Source organism: Homo sapiens, chromosome 8, assembly GCF_000001405.40.
Source record: "Homo sapiens chromosome 8, GRCh38.p14 Primary Assembly".
Classification (NCBI taxonomy): Eukaryota; Metazoa; Chordata; class Mammalia; order Primates; family Hominidae; genus Homo; species Homo sapiens.
Window position 1 is genome coordinate 10,739,027 of NC_000008.11, and position 20,411 is coordinate 10,759,437.

General features: G+C 38.8%; 1 long non-coding RNA gene across 1 annotated transcript in view, besides 1 other annotated feature; it reads left to right on the forward strand.

Moving 5' to 3' along the window:
• The window catches only part of SOX7-AS1 (SOX7 antisense RNA 1), a 43,620-nt gene that overhangs the window by 9,736 nt on the left and 13,473 nt on the right, over positions 1 to 20,411 (forward strand). The gene's annotated exons all lie outside the window — the stretch shown is intronic.
• Positions 20,184 to 20,317: a silencer, noted in NCBI's record as "fragment chr8:10616720-10616853 (GRCh37/hg19 assembly coordinates)". NCBI's record gives its function as "represses an EF-1alpha promoter that drives an FKBP-Casp9 reporter gene in an ReSE screen in phorbol 12-myristate 13-acetate-treated (for megakaryocytic differentiation) K562 erythroleukemia cells {active_cell/tissue: K562(+PMA)}" and the evidence as "EXISTENCE:reporter gene assay evidence [ECO:0000049][PMID:32094911]".

Below are 20,411 nucleotides of genomic sequence, written 5' to 3' on the forward strand. Positions count from 1 at the left end.
AACAAAAAAAAACAAAAAAAGAAAAAAAATAACGAAAGGAAACCATACTAAGGCACATCATAATGAAATTGCTGAAAATCTTGAAAGCAACTAGAGGGAAAAGGACACATTACATACAGAAGGAAAAAATAAAAACTAAAACAGACTTCATGCTTGAAACTATGCAATCCAGAAGACAATGGAATAACATTTTTTAAAGTACAGAAAGAAAAAATTTTAAAAACCACTCAACCTAGAATTCTACACCTAGCAAAATTATTTTATAAAATAAAAGCCAAATAGGACTTTTCAAACACACAAAAGCTGAGTGAATTCATTAGCAGACCAACATCATGGAAAATGTTGAAGGAAGTCCTTGAGGCAACGGATAGTGATATAGATGGAAATTTGGATACACACAAGGGAATTGGTGAACATAAAATACTTTTTTTATATTTTTAAAATCTGTTAAAAATATAATTGGTTGTTAAAGCAGAAATAATATATTTTTGAATTTACAGCATATATAGAAGTAAAATTTTATGACAACAATAGCACAAAGATCAGGAGGAGGGAAATGAAAATATATTTTTGTTAGGTTCTTGTATATATATGTGAAGTGGTATAACATAATTTGATGATAGGTTGACCATTTAAGATGTATACTGTAAACGTTAGAGCAACCACTTTTTAAAAAGAGCTAATATGCCATTGAGGTATATACAATGGAATAATAAAATTCTCAATTAATCAAATCTATCCAAGACAGAAAAAGATGAAAAGGAAGCAAAGAATAGACGAGACAAATAAAAAACAAATAGTAAGATGTTGGATTAAAACACAACCATAATTATGACCACACTAAATGTTTATGGCCTAAATATTCCATTTAAAAGCAGGGATTGTCAGATTGGATTTTAAGAAAAAGCAGGATAGAACTATATGGTTATATGATGGTTTAAAGAAATCCACTTTAAATACAAGACACAGATTAGCTAAAGGTAAAAGGATGAGATTTTTTATACCCAGTCCAGCATGTATGGAGACTGGAGATCGTTAATCCCATCCTAACAACAAGAGAAAAAGTTGAACAAACTGAAAATTGACAAGTCTTCTTAGCTCCATCAAATAATTCAGGTCATAAAGCAAGCCACCACCCTATGATTGAAGAGACAAAAAGGTGGATACCGAGAATCACAACAAACCCGTGAGCAGAAACGTCCACAGGAGTCAGTACCAGGTTCCTCTTATGACAAAAAATGACAAGGCATATTAAATGGCTAACAGCACAGTTTAGAGAAACAGAGAATGAGAATCAAACTCAGATATGTCAGGGATGTTGGAATTATTAGACTGGAAATTTAAAATAACTATGATTAACATGCTAAGGGTTCTAATGGAAAGGTAGACAACATGAAATAACATATTGGTAATGCAAGTAGAGAGACGAGAATTCTAAGAAAGGATCCAAAAGATGTGCTAGAAATAAAAAGCACTGTAACAGAAATGAAGAATGCCATTGATGGGCTTATTAGTAGTCTAGACATGGCTGAAAAAGAATCAATGATCTTTAAAATATGCCAGTAGAAACTTTCCAAACTGAAAAACAAAGAAGACTGAGAAAAAAATGGAACAGAATATCCACCGACTGTGGGACAATTACACATCACATACACACAATGGGAATACCAGAAGGAGACCAAAGAGCAAAAGGAACAGAAGAAATATTTGACGCAATAATGACGGAGAACTTCCCAAACCACATATTCAGGAAAGTCAGAAAACACCAAATAGCATGAATGCCAAAAATGACATGTAGGCATATTGTATCCAAGTCATGGAAAATAAAGACAAAGAAAAAAATCTGGAAAGAAACCAGAGGAAAAAAATCATCTTCCTAACTATCCTATAAGGATAATCATTACATTGGATCTCTTCAAAGCCATACAAGCAAGAAGAGAGTAGAATGAAAAAATTTAAGCGTCCAAAGAGAACCCCACCAACCTAGAATTCTGTATCTAGCAAAATTATCCTTTAAAAGTAGAGGATAAAAATTTTCTCAGATCAATAAAACATCGGGGGAATTTGTCACTAGTAGATATGCCCTGCAAGAAATGTTAAAAGAAGTTCTTCAAAGTGAAGGAAAATTATATAGGTTAGAAACTCAGATCTGCATGGAGAAAGACAATTAAAGAAGGAATAAGTGAAGGCAAAATTAAAACGTATTTTTATTTTTCTTCTTCTTCTTTTTTTGTTTTTTTTCCGTTGAGACAGGGTCTCACTCTGTCACCCTGTCTGGAGTGCAGCGGTGCATTCATGACTCACTGCAGCCTCAATCTCTTGGGCTCAAGTGATCTTCCTACCTGAGCAGCCCAAGTAGCTGGGGCCACAGGTGTACAATACCACGCCTGGTTAATTTTTTTATTTTTTGCAAAGACAGGGTCTCGTTATGTTGCCCAGGCTGGTCTTAAACTGCTAGGCTCAAGTGATCTCCCATCTCAGCCTCCCAATGTGCTGGGATTACAGGCAAGAGGCACCACACCTGGCCAACAGATAATCAGTTCGTTCAAAGTAATGAAAATAACAATGTATTGCAGTGATTATTATAGCTTATGGATAAGTGAAATGAATGACAGCAATGATAGACAGGAGGCAGAAGTCAGAAATACTTTATTATAAAGTACTTACACTATCTGTGAAGCAGTACAGTGTTACTTGAAGGTACACTTGAATTAATTGTAAAATGTATATTACAAACTCTAGGGCAACCATTAAGAAAGTAAAAAAAAAAAAAAGGTAATTAAAGGATGGAGGAAAAATGAAATCTAAAAAACGCTTAATTAAAACCCCAAAAGGCATAAAAAGAGTGAAAGACAAAAATAGAAACAAAGAATAGGGGCAACGAATGAAAAACAGTAACAAATATAGTACATATTAATTCACCTATATCAATAATCATATTAAGTGTCAATGTTCCAAATACACTGTATTAGGCCATTTTCACATTGCTGTAAAGAAATACTTGAGACTGGGTAATTAATAAGAAAATAAGTTCATTTGGTTCACGGTTCTACAAGCTGTACAGAAAGCATAGCAGCATCAGCTTCTGGGGAGGCTTCAAGAAGCTTCCAATCATGGTGGAAGGCAAAGTGGGTGTAGGCACATGACATGGCAAAAGCAGGAGCAAGAGAGAGAGAAGGAGGGGAAGTGCCACGTACTTTTAAACAACCAGGTCTCAGGAGACTTCACTCACTATTATGAGGACAGCACCAAGTGGATGGTGCTAAACCATTCACAAGAAATCTACCCCCATGATCCAATCACCTTCCACCAGGCACTACCTCCAACATTAGGGATTACATCTCGATGTGAGATTTGGGTGGGTATAAATATCCAAACTATATAATACACCAACTAGAAGACAGAGAATGTAAGAGACTTGTCACAAAACAAAATGAGACCTAACTATAACTTGTCTGGAAAAAACCCACTTTAAATATATAGATACAGATAGAGTAAAAAGAGAAAGATATACTACGCTAACACTAAGCAAAAGAAATCTAGAGTAGCTATATTAATTTCAGATGGACTTCAGAGCAAGAAAAATTACCAGCTATAAAGACAAGCATTACATAATAATAAATGGGTCATTTCTCCAAATAGACATAACAATCCTTAATGTATATGTACCTAACAACAAAGTATCAAACTACATGCAGTGAACTGATAGATGTCCAGGAGAAATAGATGAATCCAGGATTATTGTTGAAGACTTCAACATTCTCTCTCCGTAATGGACAGACTCAGCAGGCAGAAAATCAGTAAGGACATAGCTGAACTCAATAGCACCTTCAATCAACTAGCTATACTTGGCATCTATCTATTACTTCACGTAAAAACAGAAGAATACACATTTTTCTCAAGTTCACATGGAACATTCACCAAGATAGAGTACATTCTGGGCCATAAAATACACTTAAACAAATTTAGGAGAAGAGAAGCCATGCAATGTATGCTCTCAGACTACAATGAAGTAAAACTAGAAACCAATAACAGAAGGATAGCTGGAAAATCCCCCAAACACTTGGATATTAAACACCATGCTTCTAAATAACACATGGGTCAAAAAAATAAATCTCAAGAAAAATTTTAAAATATTTTGTACTAAACAAAAATGAAAACGCAACTTATCCAGGTTCATGGAAAGTACAGAAAACAGTACATAGAATGAAATTTATAATATTGAATGCGTACTTTAGAAAAGAAGAAATAACTAAAGTCAATAGTGTAAGCCTACACCTTAGGAGATGAGAAAAGGAGGAGTGAATTAAACTCAAAGTAAGCAAAATAAAATAAAATATTAAAAACTAGATCATAAGTCAATAAAATTAAATACAAAATATCAATAGAAAAAAATCATTGAAACGGAAAGCTGGTTCTTTGAAAAGATCAATAAAATTGCTAAATTTCTACCCAGGCTAACTAAGAAAGAGGGAGAGAAGACAGAAATTGCTAATATCAGAAATAAAAGAAGAAATAGCTATTGACTCCATAGACATTAAAACATAATAAAAAATTATAAACAACTCTATGTCCCCAAATTTGATAACCTAGATAAACTGAACCAATTGATACAGAGAAAGCATTTGACAAAATCCAGTACCCATTCATGATAACAAATCTCAGGAAACAAGAAACAGAAGAACACTCACAATTTGACAAAGAACATCTACAAAAATGATACAGCTAACATTACACTTAATGGTGAAAACCTAGATGCCTTCCTGTCAATATCAGAAACAAGGCAAGGGTAATCCTTTTCACTACTATTTTCAACATTGTGTTAGAAGATGGCTAATGCAACAAAACAAGAAAATAAAATAAAAGGTATACAGATTGAGAAGTAAAAGATAAAATTGTCTTTGTTCATAAATGACATGATCGCCTATGTAGAAAATCCCAAAGAATCGACAAAAAAACCACCTGGAACTCACAAGCAATTATAGCAAGATTGCAAGATACAAGGTTAATATACAAAATTCCATTGTATTCCCGTATGCAGCAATAAACAATTTGCATTTGATATTAAAAACACAACACTATTTACATCAGCACCAAAAAACCCACCATAATACTTAATTATAAATCTAACAAAATAAATTATACAAGATTTATATGAGGAAAATTACAACATTGTAATGAAAGAAATCGAAGAAGAATTCAGCAAATGGAGAGCTATTCTCATTTCATGGATAGGAAGATAATATTATTAAGATGTCAGTTTCTTCCAACTTGTTTTTTAGATTCACTGCAATCTCAATCAAAATCTTAGTAAGTTACTTTGTGGATATTGACAAACTAATTCTAAAGTTTATTTGAAGAGGCAAGAGATCTAGAATAGCCAACAAAATATTGAAGAAGAACAAAGTGAAGGCCTGATACTATCCAACTTTAAGACTTACTAACTTCATAGCTATAGTAATCAGGACAGTGTGGTATTGGTGAAAGAACAGACACATGTATCAGTGGAATGGAATAGGAAACCCAGAAACAGACCTATGGAAATATAGTCAACTGATCTTTGACAAAGAAGTGAAGACAATTTAACGGAGAAAGAAGAGATTTTTCAATAATTCTAAAACAAGTGAACCTCCCCATGCAAAACAAACAAACAATCAAAAAATGAATCCAGACACAGACACTTATACCCTTCACAAAAATTAACACAAAACGTATCATAGATCTAAATGTAAAACACAAGCATGGTGAAACTCTGTCTCTACAAAAAATTAGCTGGATGTGGTGGCTTGTGCTTGTAGTCCCAGCTACTTGGAGGCTGAGGTGGGAGGATCGCTTGAGTCTGGCAGGTGGAGGTTACAGTGAGCTAAGATCCACCATAAATGTAAAACACAAAATTATAAAACTTGTAGAAGATAACATAGGAGACAATCTAGATGACTTTGGGTTTGGCAATGACATTTTAGATACAACACCAAAAGCATGATCCATAAATGAACAACTTGATAAGCTGGGCTTCATTAAAATTAAAAACGTCTGTTCTGAGAAAAATAGCATCAAGAGCACGAGAAGACAAACCACAGACTGGGAGGAAATATTTGCAAAAGACATGGCTGATAAAGGACTGTTATCCAAAATAAACAAAGAACTCTTAAAACTCAACTCTTAAAATCCAATAAGAAAATAAACTACTGATTTTAAAATGGTCAAAAGCCATCTCACCAAAGAAGATATATAGATGGCAGGTAAGCATGTGAAAGGCATTGTTTAGTTTTCCACATACATATCCTATTCATGTCGTATTAGGTGTAAACCTAAGTATTTAATTTTTTTATTGTGGCAAAATACACAAAATTTATCATTTTAACAATTTAAAAATGTACAGTTCCGTGGCATCAAGTACAATCACACTGTTGTGCAACCATCACCACCATCTACCTCCAGAACTCTTTCATCTTCTCAAACTGAAACTCTGCACCCATTGAATAATTCTTCAATTCTCTGTCCTCCCAGACCCTGGCAACTACCATTCTTTCTGCCTCTATGAATTTGACCACTCTAGGGAATATATATATATGTGGAGTCATACAGGATTTGTCTTTTTTTATTGGTTTATTTATTTAACATAGTGTCTTCAAGACTCATTCTTGTGTGACTTGTCAGAATATCCTTCCTTTTGAAGGCTGAATAATATTCTATTGTATGTATATGCCACACTGTTAATTTATTCATCAGTCCATAGAGGCATACGTTGCTTCCTCCTTTTGGCTATTGTGAAAAATGTTGCTATGGAACATAGGCGTACAAATATCTATTCAAGTCCCTGCATTCACTTCTTTTGTGCATATACCTAAAAGTGGAATCATATGGTAATTAATTTGGGAGGAATTGTCATACTGTTTTTCATAGTGGCTGCACCACGTTACATTCCCACCAGTAATACACAAGGGTTCCAATTTGTCCACATCCTTGGCAACACTTTTATTGATAGTAGCCATTCTAGTAGGTGTGAAATGGTATCTTTTGATTTGCATTTAATGACTAGTGATGTAGAACATCCTTTCACATGCTTATTGGACATTTGTGTATCTTCTCTAGAGAAATGTCTATTAAAGTACTTTGCCCATTTTTAAATCATTTTTTGTTGTTGTCGTTGAGGTGTAGGAGTTCTGTATATATTCTCAATATCAATCCCTTATTGGATATATGATTTACAAATAGTTCCCCCCATCCCAGGGGTTGTCTTTTCTCTCTCTTGATAATGCCCTTTGATACACAAAGGTTCTTAATTTTAACTAGCTGGGTGTGATGGCATGTGCCTGCAGTCCCAGCTACTTCAGAGGCTGAGGTGAGAGAACTGCTTGAGCTCAGGAGGTTGAGATTGTGCCACTGCACTCCAGTCTGGGCAACAGAGCGAGACCTTGTCTCAAAAAAAAAAAAATCCTTAATTTTGACAACTCCAACTTATTATGTATTTTCTCTTTTTTTGCCTGTGCTTTTGGTGTCCTGTCCAATAAAACACTGCCAGATCTGATGTCATAAATTTTCCCCCTGTGTTTTCTTCTAAGAGTATTGTAGTTTCAGCTCTTACATTTAGATCTTTCATCCATTTTGAGTTAACTTTTGTATATGGTGTAAGGCAAAGGTCCAAATTTATTTTTTTGCATGTGGATAGCCAGTGGTTTTAGTTCATTTTTTTGTTGCTATAAAAGAATACCACATGTTGGGTACTTTTAAAGAAAATAAATTTATTCCTTACAGTTCTAGAGGCTGGGAAATCCAAGAGCATTGCACTGGCATCTGGTGAGGGTTATCTTATGGCAGAAAGGCAGAGGGCAAAAGCAAGCACAAGACAGATCACAAGATCAAGTAAAGCTTACTTTTATAAGAATCTGCTCTCATAAGAATTAATTCATTCTTGAGGGCTCCACCCTCAGAACCCAACCACCTCTTAAAGGTCCTACCGTTTAATATTGTTACACTGGCAATTACAATCTCAACAAATAAACTTCTGGGGACACATTTAAACCCTAGCACCAGTTTTCCCAACATTTGTTGAAAAGACTGTCCTTTCTCCATAGAACCATCTTGGCACCCTTGTTGAAAATCATTTGACCATAAATGTAAGGATTTCTTTATGGACTATTCCTATACCATTGGGCTCTATGTCTCTCTTCGAGCCATTTCCACATTGTTTTGATCACCATAGCTTGTAGTACATTTTGAAAAGAATGTGTAAGACCTCTAATTTTGTTCTCCTTTTTCAAGATTGTTTTAGCTATTCAAGGACTGTTGACGTCCCATAAAAATTTCAGCATGGATTTTTCTATCTCTATAAAAAACTGACATTGGGATTTTGACAGGGACTGCATTGAATCTGTAGATTGCTTTGGGTAGTAGTGACAGCTTAACAATATCGTCTTCCAGGCCATGAATGTGGGATGTCTTTCCATGCATTTGTGTGTTTAATTTTCTCCAGTAACATTTTGTAGATTCCATTGTGCAAGTCTTTCATCTACATGGTTAAGTTTATTCCTAAGTATTTTACCCCTTTGATGCTACTGTAAAGGGAAATTTTTTAAATTTCTTCTCCAGGTTGTTGCTTGTTAGTGAATAGAAATGCAACTGATTTTTGCATGTCGATTTTGTGTCCTACAACTTTGCTGAATTCTTAGTTGCAGAAGATTTCTTATTGTGTGTGTGTGTGTGTAATCTTTAGGGGTTTCTACACTATAAGGTCATGTCACCTGTGAATAGAGATAGCTTTATGTCTTCCTTTCCTATTTGAATGCTTTCTATTCCCCCAATTCTTGCCTAATTGCTCTGGGTACAACTTATAGTACTATGTTGAGTAGAAGAGGTGAGCGTGGTCATCCTTGTCTTGCTCCTGATTTTAGAGAAAAAGCTTTTAGTCTCTTACCACTGAGTATGATGTTGGCTATGGGGCTTATATAAATATTTGGCTTTTAGTATATTAAGGTAGTTTCCTTTTATTTCCAGTTAATTGTTTTTAAATCAAGAATGTTGATTTGTATCAGATGCTCTTTCTGCATCAGTTGAGATGATTACATTTTTCTCCTTCTTTTTTTTTTTTTTTTTTTTTTTTTTTTTTTTTTGAGACGGAGTCTCTCTCGCTCTGTCGCCCAGGCTGGAGTGCAGTGGCATGATCTCGGCTCACTGCAAGCTCCGCCTTCCGGGTTCACACCATTCTCCTGCCTCAGCCTCCTGAGTAGCTGGGACTACAGGCACCCACCACTACACCCGGCTAAATTTTTGTATTTTTAGTAGAGACGGGGTTTCACCGTGTTAGCCAGGGTGGTCTTGATCTCCTGACCTCGTGATCCGCCCACCTCGGCCTCCCAAAGTGCTGGGATTACAGGCGTGAGCCACTGCGCCCGGCCTCCTTAATTCTTTTAATGTGTGAATTACCTTGATTTTTACATGTTGAACATTCTTTGTATTTCAGGAATAAATCATACCTGATCATGGTGTAGAATCCTTGTAATAGCCTGTTGAATTCAGTCTGCTAGTATTTTATTTTTTATTTTTTAGAGATGAGGTCTCACTATGTTGTTGCCCAAGCTGGGGTATGGTGGCTATTCACAGGTGTGATCATCGCACACTACAGTGTCAAATTCCTAGACTCAAGGAATCCTCCCATCTCAGCCTCTCAAGTAGCTAGGGACTACAGACATGTGACATCATACCCAGCAGTATTTTAAATTCTGGTGAATTTTGTTTGCTAGTTGAGCATTTTAAAATCTATATTCAAAGGGGATGCAATTGTGTAGTTTTTTATGTTCTAATCTGGCTTGGGTATCAGGCAACGCCAAACTCATAGAATGAATTTGGAAGTGTTTCCCCCTTTTCAACCTTCAGAGGAGTTTAAGAAGAATTGGTGTTAATTCTTCTTTAAATACCTTGCAGAATTCATCTGTGAAGCCATCTGATCCCAGGCTTTATTGGGAGGTGTTTGGTTATGAAATCAATCTCCTTACTAGTTGTAGCTCTATTCAAATTTCCTATTTCTTCATATTCAGTACTGGTAGGCTGTGTATTTCTAGGAATTGTGCCTTTTCATCTTGGTTATTCATTTTGTTGCCATACATTTGTTCATACTATTCTCTTATAAACCTTTTTTATTTCTGTAAAATTGGTGGAACGTCCCTGCTTTCATTTCTGATTTGTGTTTTCTCTTTTTCCTTAGTCAATCTACCTAAAGATTTGTCAATTTTATTGACCTTTTCTAAGAACCAACACCTGGTTTTGTTGATTTTATCTACTGTTTTTCTATTCTCTATTTTATTTGTATCTGTTCCAGTCTTTTTTATTTTCTTCTTTCTTCTTATTTTGGGTTTTGTTTGCTCTCCTTTTTCTAGATCTGTAAGGTGTAGAATTAGGTTGCTGATCTGAGACCTTTTTTCTTTTTTAGTGTAAGCATTTATACCATCAATTTCCCTCTTAATACTGTTTTTACTGTGTAAGTTTTTGTTGTTGTATTTTCATCTTTGTCTTAAGATCTTTCATAGTTTCCCTTGTGTTCCCTCTTTGACCCAATAGTCATTTAAGAATGTGTTGTTTAATTTCCCCAAATTTGTGAATTTTTCAGTTTTCCTTTTGCAGTTGTTGCCTAGTTTCACTCCACTGTGTTCAGAAAAAATACTTTGTATAATTTCAATCTTTGAAAATTCATTAAGGCTTGTTATGTGGCTTAAAATACAGTCTTTCCTGGAGAATGTTCCATACATACTTGAGGAAAATCTGTTTGCTGTTGTTGGATGGAGTGATCTGTATATGTCTTTCATGTCTAATTGGTCTATACTGTTGTTCAAGTCATCTGTTTCCTTACTGATCTTCAATATTCTACACATTATTGAAAGTGGGTACTGAATTTTCCTACTATTATTGCAGGGCTATTTCTCCATTCAATTCTGTCAATGTTTGCTTCATATATATTTGGAGGTCTAATGTTTGTGTACAAACATTAGAACTTCCTATGTTCTAACTGAACATAATCTAAGAACATAATCCAAAAACATAATTTAACTTTTTATGTTTTTGCTATCTTTTTAGTGAACTGACCCTTTTATTATTTAATGTCCCTATTTGTCTCATGTAACAGTGTCTTGACTTAAGGTCTATTGTATTTAAAATTATAGCCAACTTTTCCCCTCTTTTGGCTATTTGCATGGAATATCATTTTCCATCCTTTTACATTCAGTCTCTGTCATGAGATCTAAAGTGTGCCTCTTGAGGACAGCACATAGTTGGATTCTATTTTTTTAAAATCCATTCTGCCATTCTATGTCTTTTGATTAGAGAATTTAATCCATTTACATTTAAAGCAATTTGTGATAAGAAAGCACTACTTTCGACATTTTGTTGTTTTCTGTATATCTTACAGCTTTCTTGCCCCTCACGTTTCCATTACTGCTTTACTTTGTGTTTAGTTGACTTTTTGTAGTGGCACATATTGATTCCCTTCTCATTTTCTTTTTTTGCATACACAGAGTCTCACTCTTTGCCCAGACTATAGTGCAGTGGTGCAGTCATGTCTCACTGCAGCCTCAACCTCCTGGGCTCAAGCAATCCTCCCACCTCAGCCTCCCAAGTAGCTGGGACTACAGGCATGTACCACTATGCATGGATAATTTTTTTTTTCTACAGACTGATCTTGAACTCTGGGCTCAAGCAATCCTCCTGCCTCAGCCTCCCTAAGTGTTGGAATTACAGGAATGAACTACTGCACCTAGCTTAGATATTTTCTTTGTGGTTATTGTGGACATTAAATATAACATTTAGAGTTATGGCACCTTAAATTGATACCAACTTGACTTCGGTAACATTAAAAAAACTCTACTCCTTTATAGATCCTCCCTCCACTCCCCGCTTTGTGTTACTGGTGTCACAACTTACATTTGTATATACTACATATCCTTTTTTTTTTTTTTTTTTTTGAGATGGAGTCTCACTCTGTCACCCAGGCTGGAGTGCAGTGGCACGATCTTAGCCTACTGCAACTTGCAACTTCTGGGTTCAAGCAATTCTCTTGTCTCAGCTTCCTGAGTAGCTGGGATTACAGGTGCACACCACCATGCTCAGCTAATTTCTGTATTTTTAGTAGAGATGGGGTTTCACCACATTGGACAGGCTGATCTCAAACTCCTGACCTCAGGTGATCCACCTGCCTCACCCTTCCAAAGTGCTGGGATTACAGGTGTGAGCCACTGTGGCCAGTCTAAATCCATTATTATAGATTTGTATTTATTTTAATAAAGTTGCCTTACAAATCCTGTAAAAAATAAAAAGAATTAAAAACCAAAATTAAAATAATTTAAACTTTTTTATATTTTTCCATGTATTACCCTTATACTTTATACTTCATATGGCTTCAAGTTACTGTCTAGCATCCTTATATTTCAACTTGTAGGACTCCCTTTAGTGTTTATTGTAGGGTAGGTCTAGTGGTAATAAACTCCCTCAGCTTTTGTTTATCAAGAAATGTTTTAATTTCACCTGCATTTTTGAAGGATAGTTTTGCGAGAGATTAAATTCTTAGTTGATAAGTTCCCCCCACCACTTCATAACTTAAAATATATAATCCCACTGCCTTTTGGCTTGTAAGGTTTTTTTCACTAAGAAATCCACAGGTAGTCTTATTGAGGATCCCTTGTACATTATAAGTTATTGCTCTCTTGCTGCTTTCAAAATTTGTTGACTTTTAACAGTTTGATTATAATGTATCCTGGTGTGGGTCTCTTTGGGTTTATCCTACTTGAAAATCTTTGAGCTTCTTGGATTTTTATCTCCATGTATTACCTTAAAATTGGGAAGTTTTCAGCCATTATTTCTTCAAATAATCTATCCCCTTCTCTCTTCTCCATTTTGAATTCCTATAATGTGTATATTGGTCTACTTCTTCAGGTCCCTTAAGTCCCTTAGGCTCATTTTTTTATTTTTTATCATCTTTTTTCTTTCCTTTTTGTTTTCAGACTTGATAATTTCAAATAACTGGTGTTCAAACTCAATGTCTGCTTTCTTTCCCCTCTGTTCTAGGCTACAGTTAAGCCTCTTTGGTGAATTTTTGAATTCCCTTAAGTATTTTTCAGCTCCTGAATTTAATTCTTTTTTAAATATATAATTTCTATCTCCCTGTTTATATTCTAATTTTGTTTATATATATAGTATATATATATATTCTCTCTATATATAGTATGTATATATTCTCTATATATATAGTGTGTGTGTGTATGTATATATATATATATATATATTCTCTCTCTCTCTCTCTCTATATATATATATCTCTCTCTCTCTCTCTATATATATATATATATATACTACCTTGCCTGGCAAGTATTGTGCTTTTTAATTTTTATTTTCACCACTATATATATATTACTATATATATAACTATATATGGCTATATATATAGTTTTCCTGATTTCCTTTAGTTTTTTGCCCATGCTTTAACTCTTTCAGCACTTTTAAGATGGTCATTTAAAGCCTTTTTCTAGTAAGTACTCTGTGTGTTTCCTCAGTGACTATTTCTGGAGGTTTATTTTGTTCCTTTGAATAGGCCATGTTTGCCTGTGTCTCTGTATGCCTTGTAATCAGATGGACGTTTGAAGCACACCTCTTCCACTTGTTGAAGACTAGAGTTATTTACTCTCAAGCCCCTGAACCTAGAGATCAGCCCAGGGTAAAGGCTTAAGGGCTGCTCAGGTCTTCTGGGCATGCATCCTACCTGGGCCTATGTGTGTGTATTTCCCCATTTCTTCTGGCTGCTTTCAAATGTCTTAATTTTCCAAAGCGTCCCACCTCAGCTTCTTCTCAGAGCCTTAGATGGCCTATTGTATTCCTCTGCCCATCATCTCTTGCTCACAGTTGTCTTCAGATCTACAGTCCCCCTACAGTTTTCACACATCATGGTACACCCCACTTCCTTCTGATGCTTCCAGCCTAAGCTCCAAACTATGCTACCCTTCCATCTGAGGCAGGAGAGACAGATGCTGGTTTCTTGGACATCCCACAGATAGGCGAGAATTATACAAACAATTTCCACCCTGCTCTTTCTGGCCCAAGGGACAGAGTCAAAAATTGGTCCTGTTCCTCTGGCCTTCACTGCATGGGTGAGGCATGGGCAAGTAAAAACAACACTGAATTTCCTACCGTTCTGAGTGTGGCTTTTTCCTGATTGGCATTCGCTTGGTTGCTACAGATCTTTGGTTGGTTTCTAGAGCTCCTATAAAGTGATTTTAGTCAGTCTGTAGTTGTTTATTTGACATTTTATGGGAGAATAAGGGCCTGGAGCTTCCTGGTCTCCCATTTTGTTGATGTCCTCAGTATTTTAATCTTTTAAAAAGTGACTGTACACGGTATTGTGCTTTTTTTTTCTTTTGAGACAGGGTCTCTTTCTGTTGTCTACGTTGGAGTGCAGTGGTGCAATCAGCTCACTGTAACCCCAAATTTCTGGACACAAGTGATGCTCCCACCTCAGCTTCCTGAGCAGCTAGGAGTACAGGTGCATGCCACTTTGCCTGGCTATTTTTAAAACTTTTCTGTAGAGACGGCGTGTCACTATGTTGCTCAGGCTGGTCTCAAACTCATGGCCTCAAATTGATCCTTCTCCTTTGGCCTCCCAAAGTGCTGGGATTACAGGAGTGAGCTACCTTGCCAGGCAAATATTGTGCTTTTAGTTTTTATTTTCAACAGTTCACTAAAGTATAAAAAATTGTGTGTTGTTCTTGTATCTTGTAAGCACGCTAAATCCATTATTAGTTCAAGGAGGTGATTTAGGTAGATTCTAGAGGTTTCTTTATAGAACAATCATCTTAAAACTCAATAATAAGAGAAAAATGCAATGAAATGTGGGCAGAAGATTTGGACACTTGACAAAAGAAGATACAAGAAGAGCCAATAAGCGTATTTAAAAACTGTTCAGCATCATTAGCTATCCAGAAGAAAATACAAACCAAAAGCAAAATGAGATACCGCTATGCTTTAGAATGACTAAAACTTCAAAGATTGAGAATATCGAGTGCTGGGGAGGTTGCAGAGCACACAGAACTTTCACGAACTTCTTGCAGGGATGGAAAGTGGTACCTTTTAGAAAACTGTTTGACAGTTTCTAAATTAAACAAACGTTTATCATATGACCCAACCTGTTCACTCATAGGCATTTTCCAGGGGAAATGAAAGTGTATGCCCAAAGAAGGACTTGTATTTCAATGTTCGTAGAAGTTTTATGCACAAGAGTCCAAAACTGCAAAAAAATCCGAAAGTTCATCAACTGGTAAATAAACTGTTATCTATCCACATAATGGAAGCTAGCTAGCAATAAAAACCGTGGACATTGCTGAATCTCAAGAGCATTATGCTAAGTGGGAGTGATTCTATGTATATGAGATTCTAGAAACAATAAAGTTATAATGGTAAAGAGCAGATCAGTGGTTGCAAGGGGCAAGGGCATGTGGGAGAGAGGACTGACTGTAAAGGGGCTTGAGGAAACCTACTGGTGGATGGAAATGTTCCATATCGCGGTAGTTGTGGTCATTACACACCTGCATATGCTTCTCAAAAGTGATCAAATCGCACACTTAATAGTGGTGCATTTTATTGTTTGTAAATTATACTTTAATAAGTCTGATTTTATAAATGCAATCTTGAGCAGTAGACAGATTCCTATGGCCTGCAGGTGCCCACTTACCACCCTGAAAGGCCCCACGTGCCTAAAAATAGAGAAATAAGAGGAAATAATTTCATTTACTCACTTATTCATTTCATCATTTATTTGTCAAATTTATTTGTTAAAAATGTTTCTTACACATGAATTAGGGGACAGACAGTAGCAGGTGTTGGGATACAGAGCGGGGAAAGCTGCTCCTGGGATAAGCATGCACCCAGCACTCCAGGAGTGCAGAAGAGGGACATCCAGCCCAGACCAGGGTGTCAGGGAAGCGGGTGGCTGCTGAACTAAGCCCTGAATGATGAATACGTTGTGCTTTCCCCCACAACATGTTCACATAATGACCCTAAGGAATAGTTGGGAGGCTCTTGCAGCACAGAAGAGTGGGCACTTTAGAGTCACGCAGGTGTGGGCTCCAGTCCTGACCTGGCTGTTTGCCAGCTGTGTAACCTTGAGAAAATGTCAATCAACCAGAGTCCCATTTTTTTTCATACCCAGAATCAGAGTAATCATAATTACCTATACATTGCTCTGAAAACAAATTAGAAAATATTTCTCTTTTTTTTTTTTTTTTTAAGATGGAGGGTTGCTCTGTCACCAGGCTGGAGTGCAGTGGTGTGATCTCAGCTCACCGCAACCTCTGCCTCCTCGGTTCACATAATTCTCCTGCCTTAGCCTCCTGAGTAGGTGGGATTACAGGCACGCACCACCATGCCCAGCTAATTTTTGTATTTTTAGTAGAGATGGGGTTTCACCATGTTGGCCAGGATGGTCTTCATCTCTTGACCTCGTGATCCGCCCGCCTCAGCCTCCCAAAGTGCTGGGATTACAGGTGTGAGCCACTGCACCGGGTCTAGAAAATACTTCTAAAACATCTAGCGCAATAAAGGATTAGTAATGATAACGAGACATACATATCAGGTAGCCTCTTTGGTTACCATAACCTCTTCCCACCATCCTGGTCAAACACTAGGAATGAAAAATGCAGGGACTGGGGTTCCCGAAACTCAAGACTCACATAGTGTCACAGTCAGTAGAGTTGCAGCCAAGTGGTCTTTGCTGCCTGGCACCCCTCAGCAACGAGCCAGAAGAAGACCCCAGCCCAGGGAGAGGTCACAAGATGCCACCCACCCCTTTTCTTCTGTCTGCGGTTGTTCTGCATCAAATCATTGCCTTGTTTTGCACCTCTCTGGTGAAATTTCTAAGCTTCCTTTCAGTTCTAAAATCCAAGGTCCATGAAGCAAAACTCAAAAGACAAAACACAAAAGTCAAACCCCAGCAAAGGGGTTCAAAGTCATCATTCCTGAACTTCACTGTGAGGATAAAAATGTACTCGGGCACAAGCTTCTTCTAAACTCCGAGCTTTCACACCCGTGCATCCACGCACAGAGGTTTCACTGCCCTTGGACACCAAATGAGCATTCCTTGGCTTGAAAACCCTCTTAAGGCTGAGAGCGTCCTTTTGAATTTGGATACATAAAATTGTGACTATCCAAAGGAGGCACATGGCTTTGTTTTTCCAACTTTAGTGACACAGTTAGCTAAATGGTGAGCTCTTGAGGACTGGGACCATGTCTTTTCACACCTGTATTCCCAGCCCCTAGCACAGAGCCTTCACCACTGAAGCTTGTGGAACGAATGGCTGAATGAACACATCTGATGGTGTTTTCCCGCAGCATTTTCTATATCTCTCCTCTAACTCATGAATTACACTGCAGTTGGCACAAAGGTACACTACATGCCAAAATGGACTAAATAACACGAAGAAGAAATTCAATTATTAAAAACAAAAATCAAACATAGTCCCCATCACATCTTTAGGATGAAAAGGGGTTAGTCCTGGGGCGGGGGACAGCCTGGGGTGATGGAGGTTACACCCTTCTGCCACCCCTTTATGAACTGGTGAGCCTGGCCAAGGTACTTACTGACTCTGAGTCTGTCTCTCCACCTACAAAATGAGGAGCGTAAGAATGCGGCTCTTACGGGGCTGTGCTGAGCAGGACTGCTTGTTTCAGGGATGAATGCTGGGAAGGGTCCCCTGATTTGGAAGACCTACTGGCTCATGTCTCCCGAATACACTCCGATTGTCCCTCTTCCAGTTCAGTTAACATCAATTGTTCATCGCAGATTGCAAGGGCCTTGCCCATCGCAGCAGGATTTTGCAATCCCTCCAGGCTAAATTGCAATTAACTTGCTCTATTGGGGCTGCCTAGGAGTCCTGGGCAAGGGCAGGACCTGAAGCCTGTCACCTGAGCAGTCTGAGTCACTGTGCCCACACCTCAGTCCTGCCCCAGGGCCTGCACAGGTTACCACTTCCAGTGGCAAGCCCTGAACCTCCCTGGGACTCTGCTGTCTCCAGGATGACCTGGACACACCTTCCTGTGGCACATCCTGGAGCCTGTTGGTCCTGGGTGACAGTCACAGGAGCAGGTAAAAAGTGGCTCAGGAGCCTTAGGGATGGCTCTTCAGAGGACGGGGCCTGCTGGTGCCAGTCCCTCATCGGAGAGAGGATGGAAGCTACCCTCCTGACCAGGACTGGGTTCCCTAGTATCACGTGAGGAGCACTTGGCATTTTTGAAAAAGACTTTCTTTTTTCTGAAGCAGGGTCTTGCTCTGTCACCCAGGCTGGAGTGCAATGGCACAAACATGGCTCACTGCAGTCTCGACCTCCTGGGCTCAAGTGATCCTCCCACCTCAGCCTCCCAAGTAGCTGAGACCACAGGTGTGTGCCACCACGCCTAGCTAATTTTTATTTTTTGTAACAGATGGGGTCTCACCACATTGCCCAGGTTGGAGGTCACACTTTATTGCCCAGGCCACTCTTGAACTCCTGGCCTCAAGCTATCCTCCTGCCTTGGTCTCCCAAAGTGCTGATGATATAGTTTGGTTCTGTGTCCCCACTCAAATTTCATCTTGTAACTCTCACAATTCCCACGTGTTGGGGCGGGGGGGGGCCAGGTGGGAGGTGATTGAATCATGGGGTCGGGTCTTTCTTGTGCTGTTCTTGTGATGGCGAATGGATCTCACAAGATCTGATGGTTTTAAAAAGGGGAGTTCCCCTGCACAAGCTCTCTTTTTGCCTGCTGCCATCCATGTCAGACAGGACTTGCTCCTCCTTGTCTTCCACCATGATTGTGAGGCTTCCCCAACCACATGGAACTCTAAGTCCAATTAAATTTCTCTAGTAAATTTCCCAGTCTCGGATATGTGTTCATCAGCAGCATGAAAATGAATACAGCTGGGATTACAGATATGAGCCAACGTGTCCAGCATTGACTTTATTTTCTTAGAACCACTTTAGGTTCACAGCAAAATTAAAAGGTACAGAGAATGCCCATGTACCACCTCTCCTACACTCAGGCACAGCCTCCTCCACTACCAACACCCCCCACCAGAGTGGTACATTTGTGACAATGGATCAAGCTACATCGCCACATTATCATCCCCACAGCCACAGTTATGTTACGGTTCACATGCACATTCTATGGGTTTGGACAGATATACGACGCCATGTGTCCAGCATTCTAGGATCATAATTTCCTTGCCCTAAAAATCCTCCGCAGCACTTCCTTTTCATTTTCTCCTCTTGTACGTGTGGAGGGAGAGAAGAAAAATGCATTGCACGCCTGCTGTCAGGTATTTTGCTGAGCCACAGTTCATTTAATCCTACAACCACCCTTTGGTCAAGGAAGACTTGAAAACAAGGCCCTGGGAATGAGTCCGCTGAGATCCCAGTGGCCAGGGGACAGTTACAAGGAAGACCTAGGGAGACATGCAGACGAATTCAGAATCAAGCTTTCAAGCTAGGTGGGTGATGAGGTCTCATCTACTGAATGCAGTGCAGGGAGTCAAGGGAACCACAAGTGCAGGGGGTGGGGTATAGCCACAGGAGAGCATCCCTGTTCAGACACCTTCGTCCTGGGATATACCTGAGGCCTTCAGAACACGGGTTCTTGCCTGGGTGTGGTCTGCTCATTTGTATTCATTTAAGAATCCTGTTAGCTGAGCATGGTGATATGGACCTGCAGTCCTAGCTACTCAGGAGTCTGAGGCAGGAGGATCACTTCAGCCCAGGAGGTCAAGGCTGCAGTGAGCTTTCATTGTGCCACTGTACTCCATCCTGGGTGACAAAGCAAGACCCTGTCTCCACTTTAAAAAGAGGAGAGAGAGAAAGAGGGGGATAGAGATAGAGAGAGAGAGAGAGAGCGAGCGAGCGAGCAAGCTGTACCTTCCTTGTGCCTGGCACTGTCCTGGTGCTATAGGAATACAAACATGAAGGTTCCCTTCAGAGGTCCTAGGGTTGAATGGGGAAAGTGACATACCCCAAAACACAAGTAGACTTTGATGAGCACAGAGAATGCTACGAAAATTCAGAAAATGGAGAGATTGCTTCTGGGGGCCGGATCAGGACAGGCTGGAGAAGTGGATGACACCTGTGGCGGGTCTTGAAGCCAGTGGGTGGAGAAGGGAAGCCTGGTCGGAGCCACAGATATGCACTAGGGGCGGGACTGCAGGCAGGAGGCAGAGCCGGGAGTGCAGGTCCGGGGGAGCGGCATTACCGAGGGAACGATGGGAGGTGCAGGGCAGCACTGTCCAGATAGGAGTCAGACAGTGGGGTGTCGAGCTGGGAGCTTCCTGAAGGTGAGGACCTACCTAGTGTACAGTGGTGGCAGACACTTGATTAGGTTGGACTGCTGATAACGCCTCTTGATGTTGGGGTGAGACT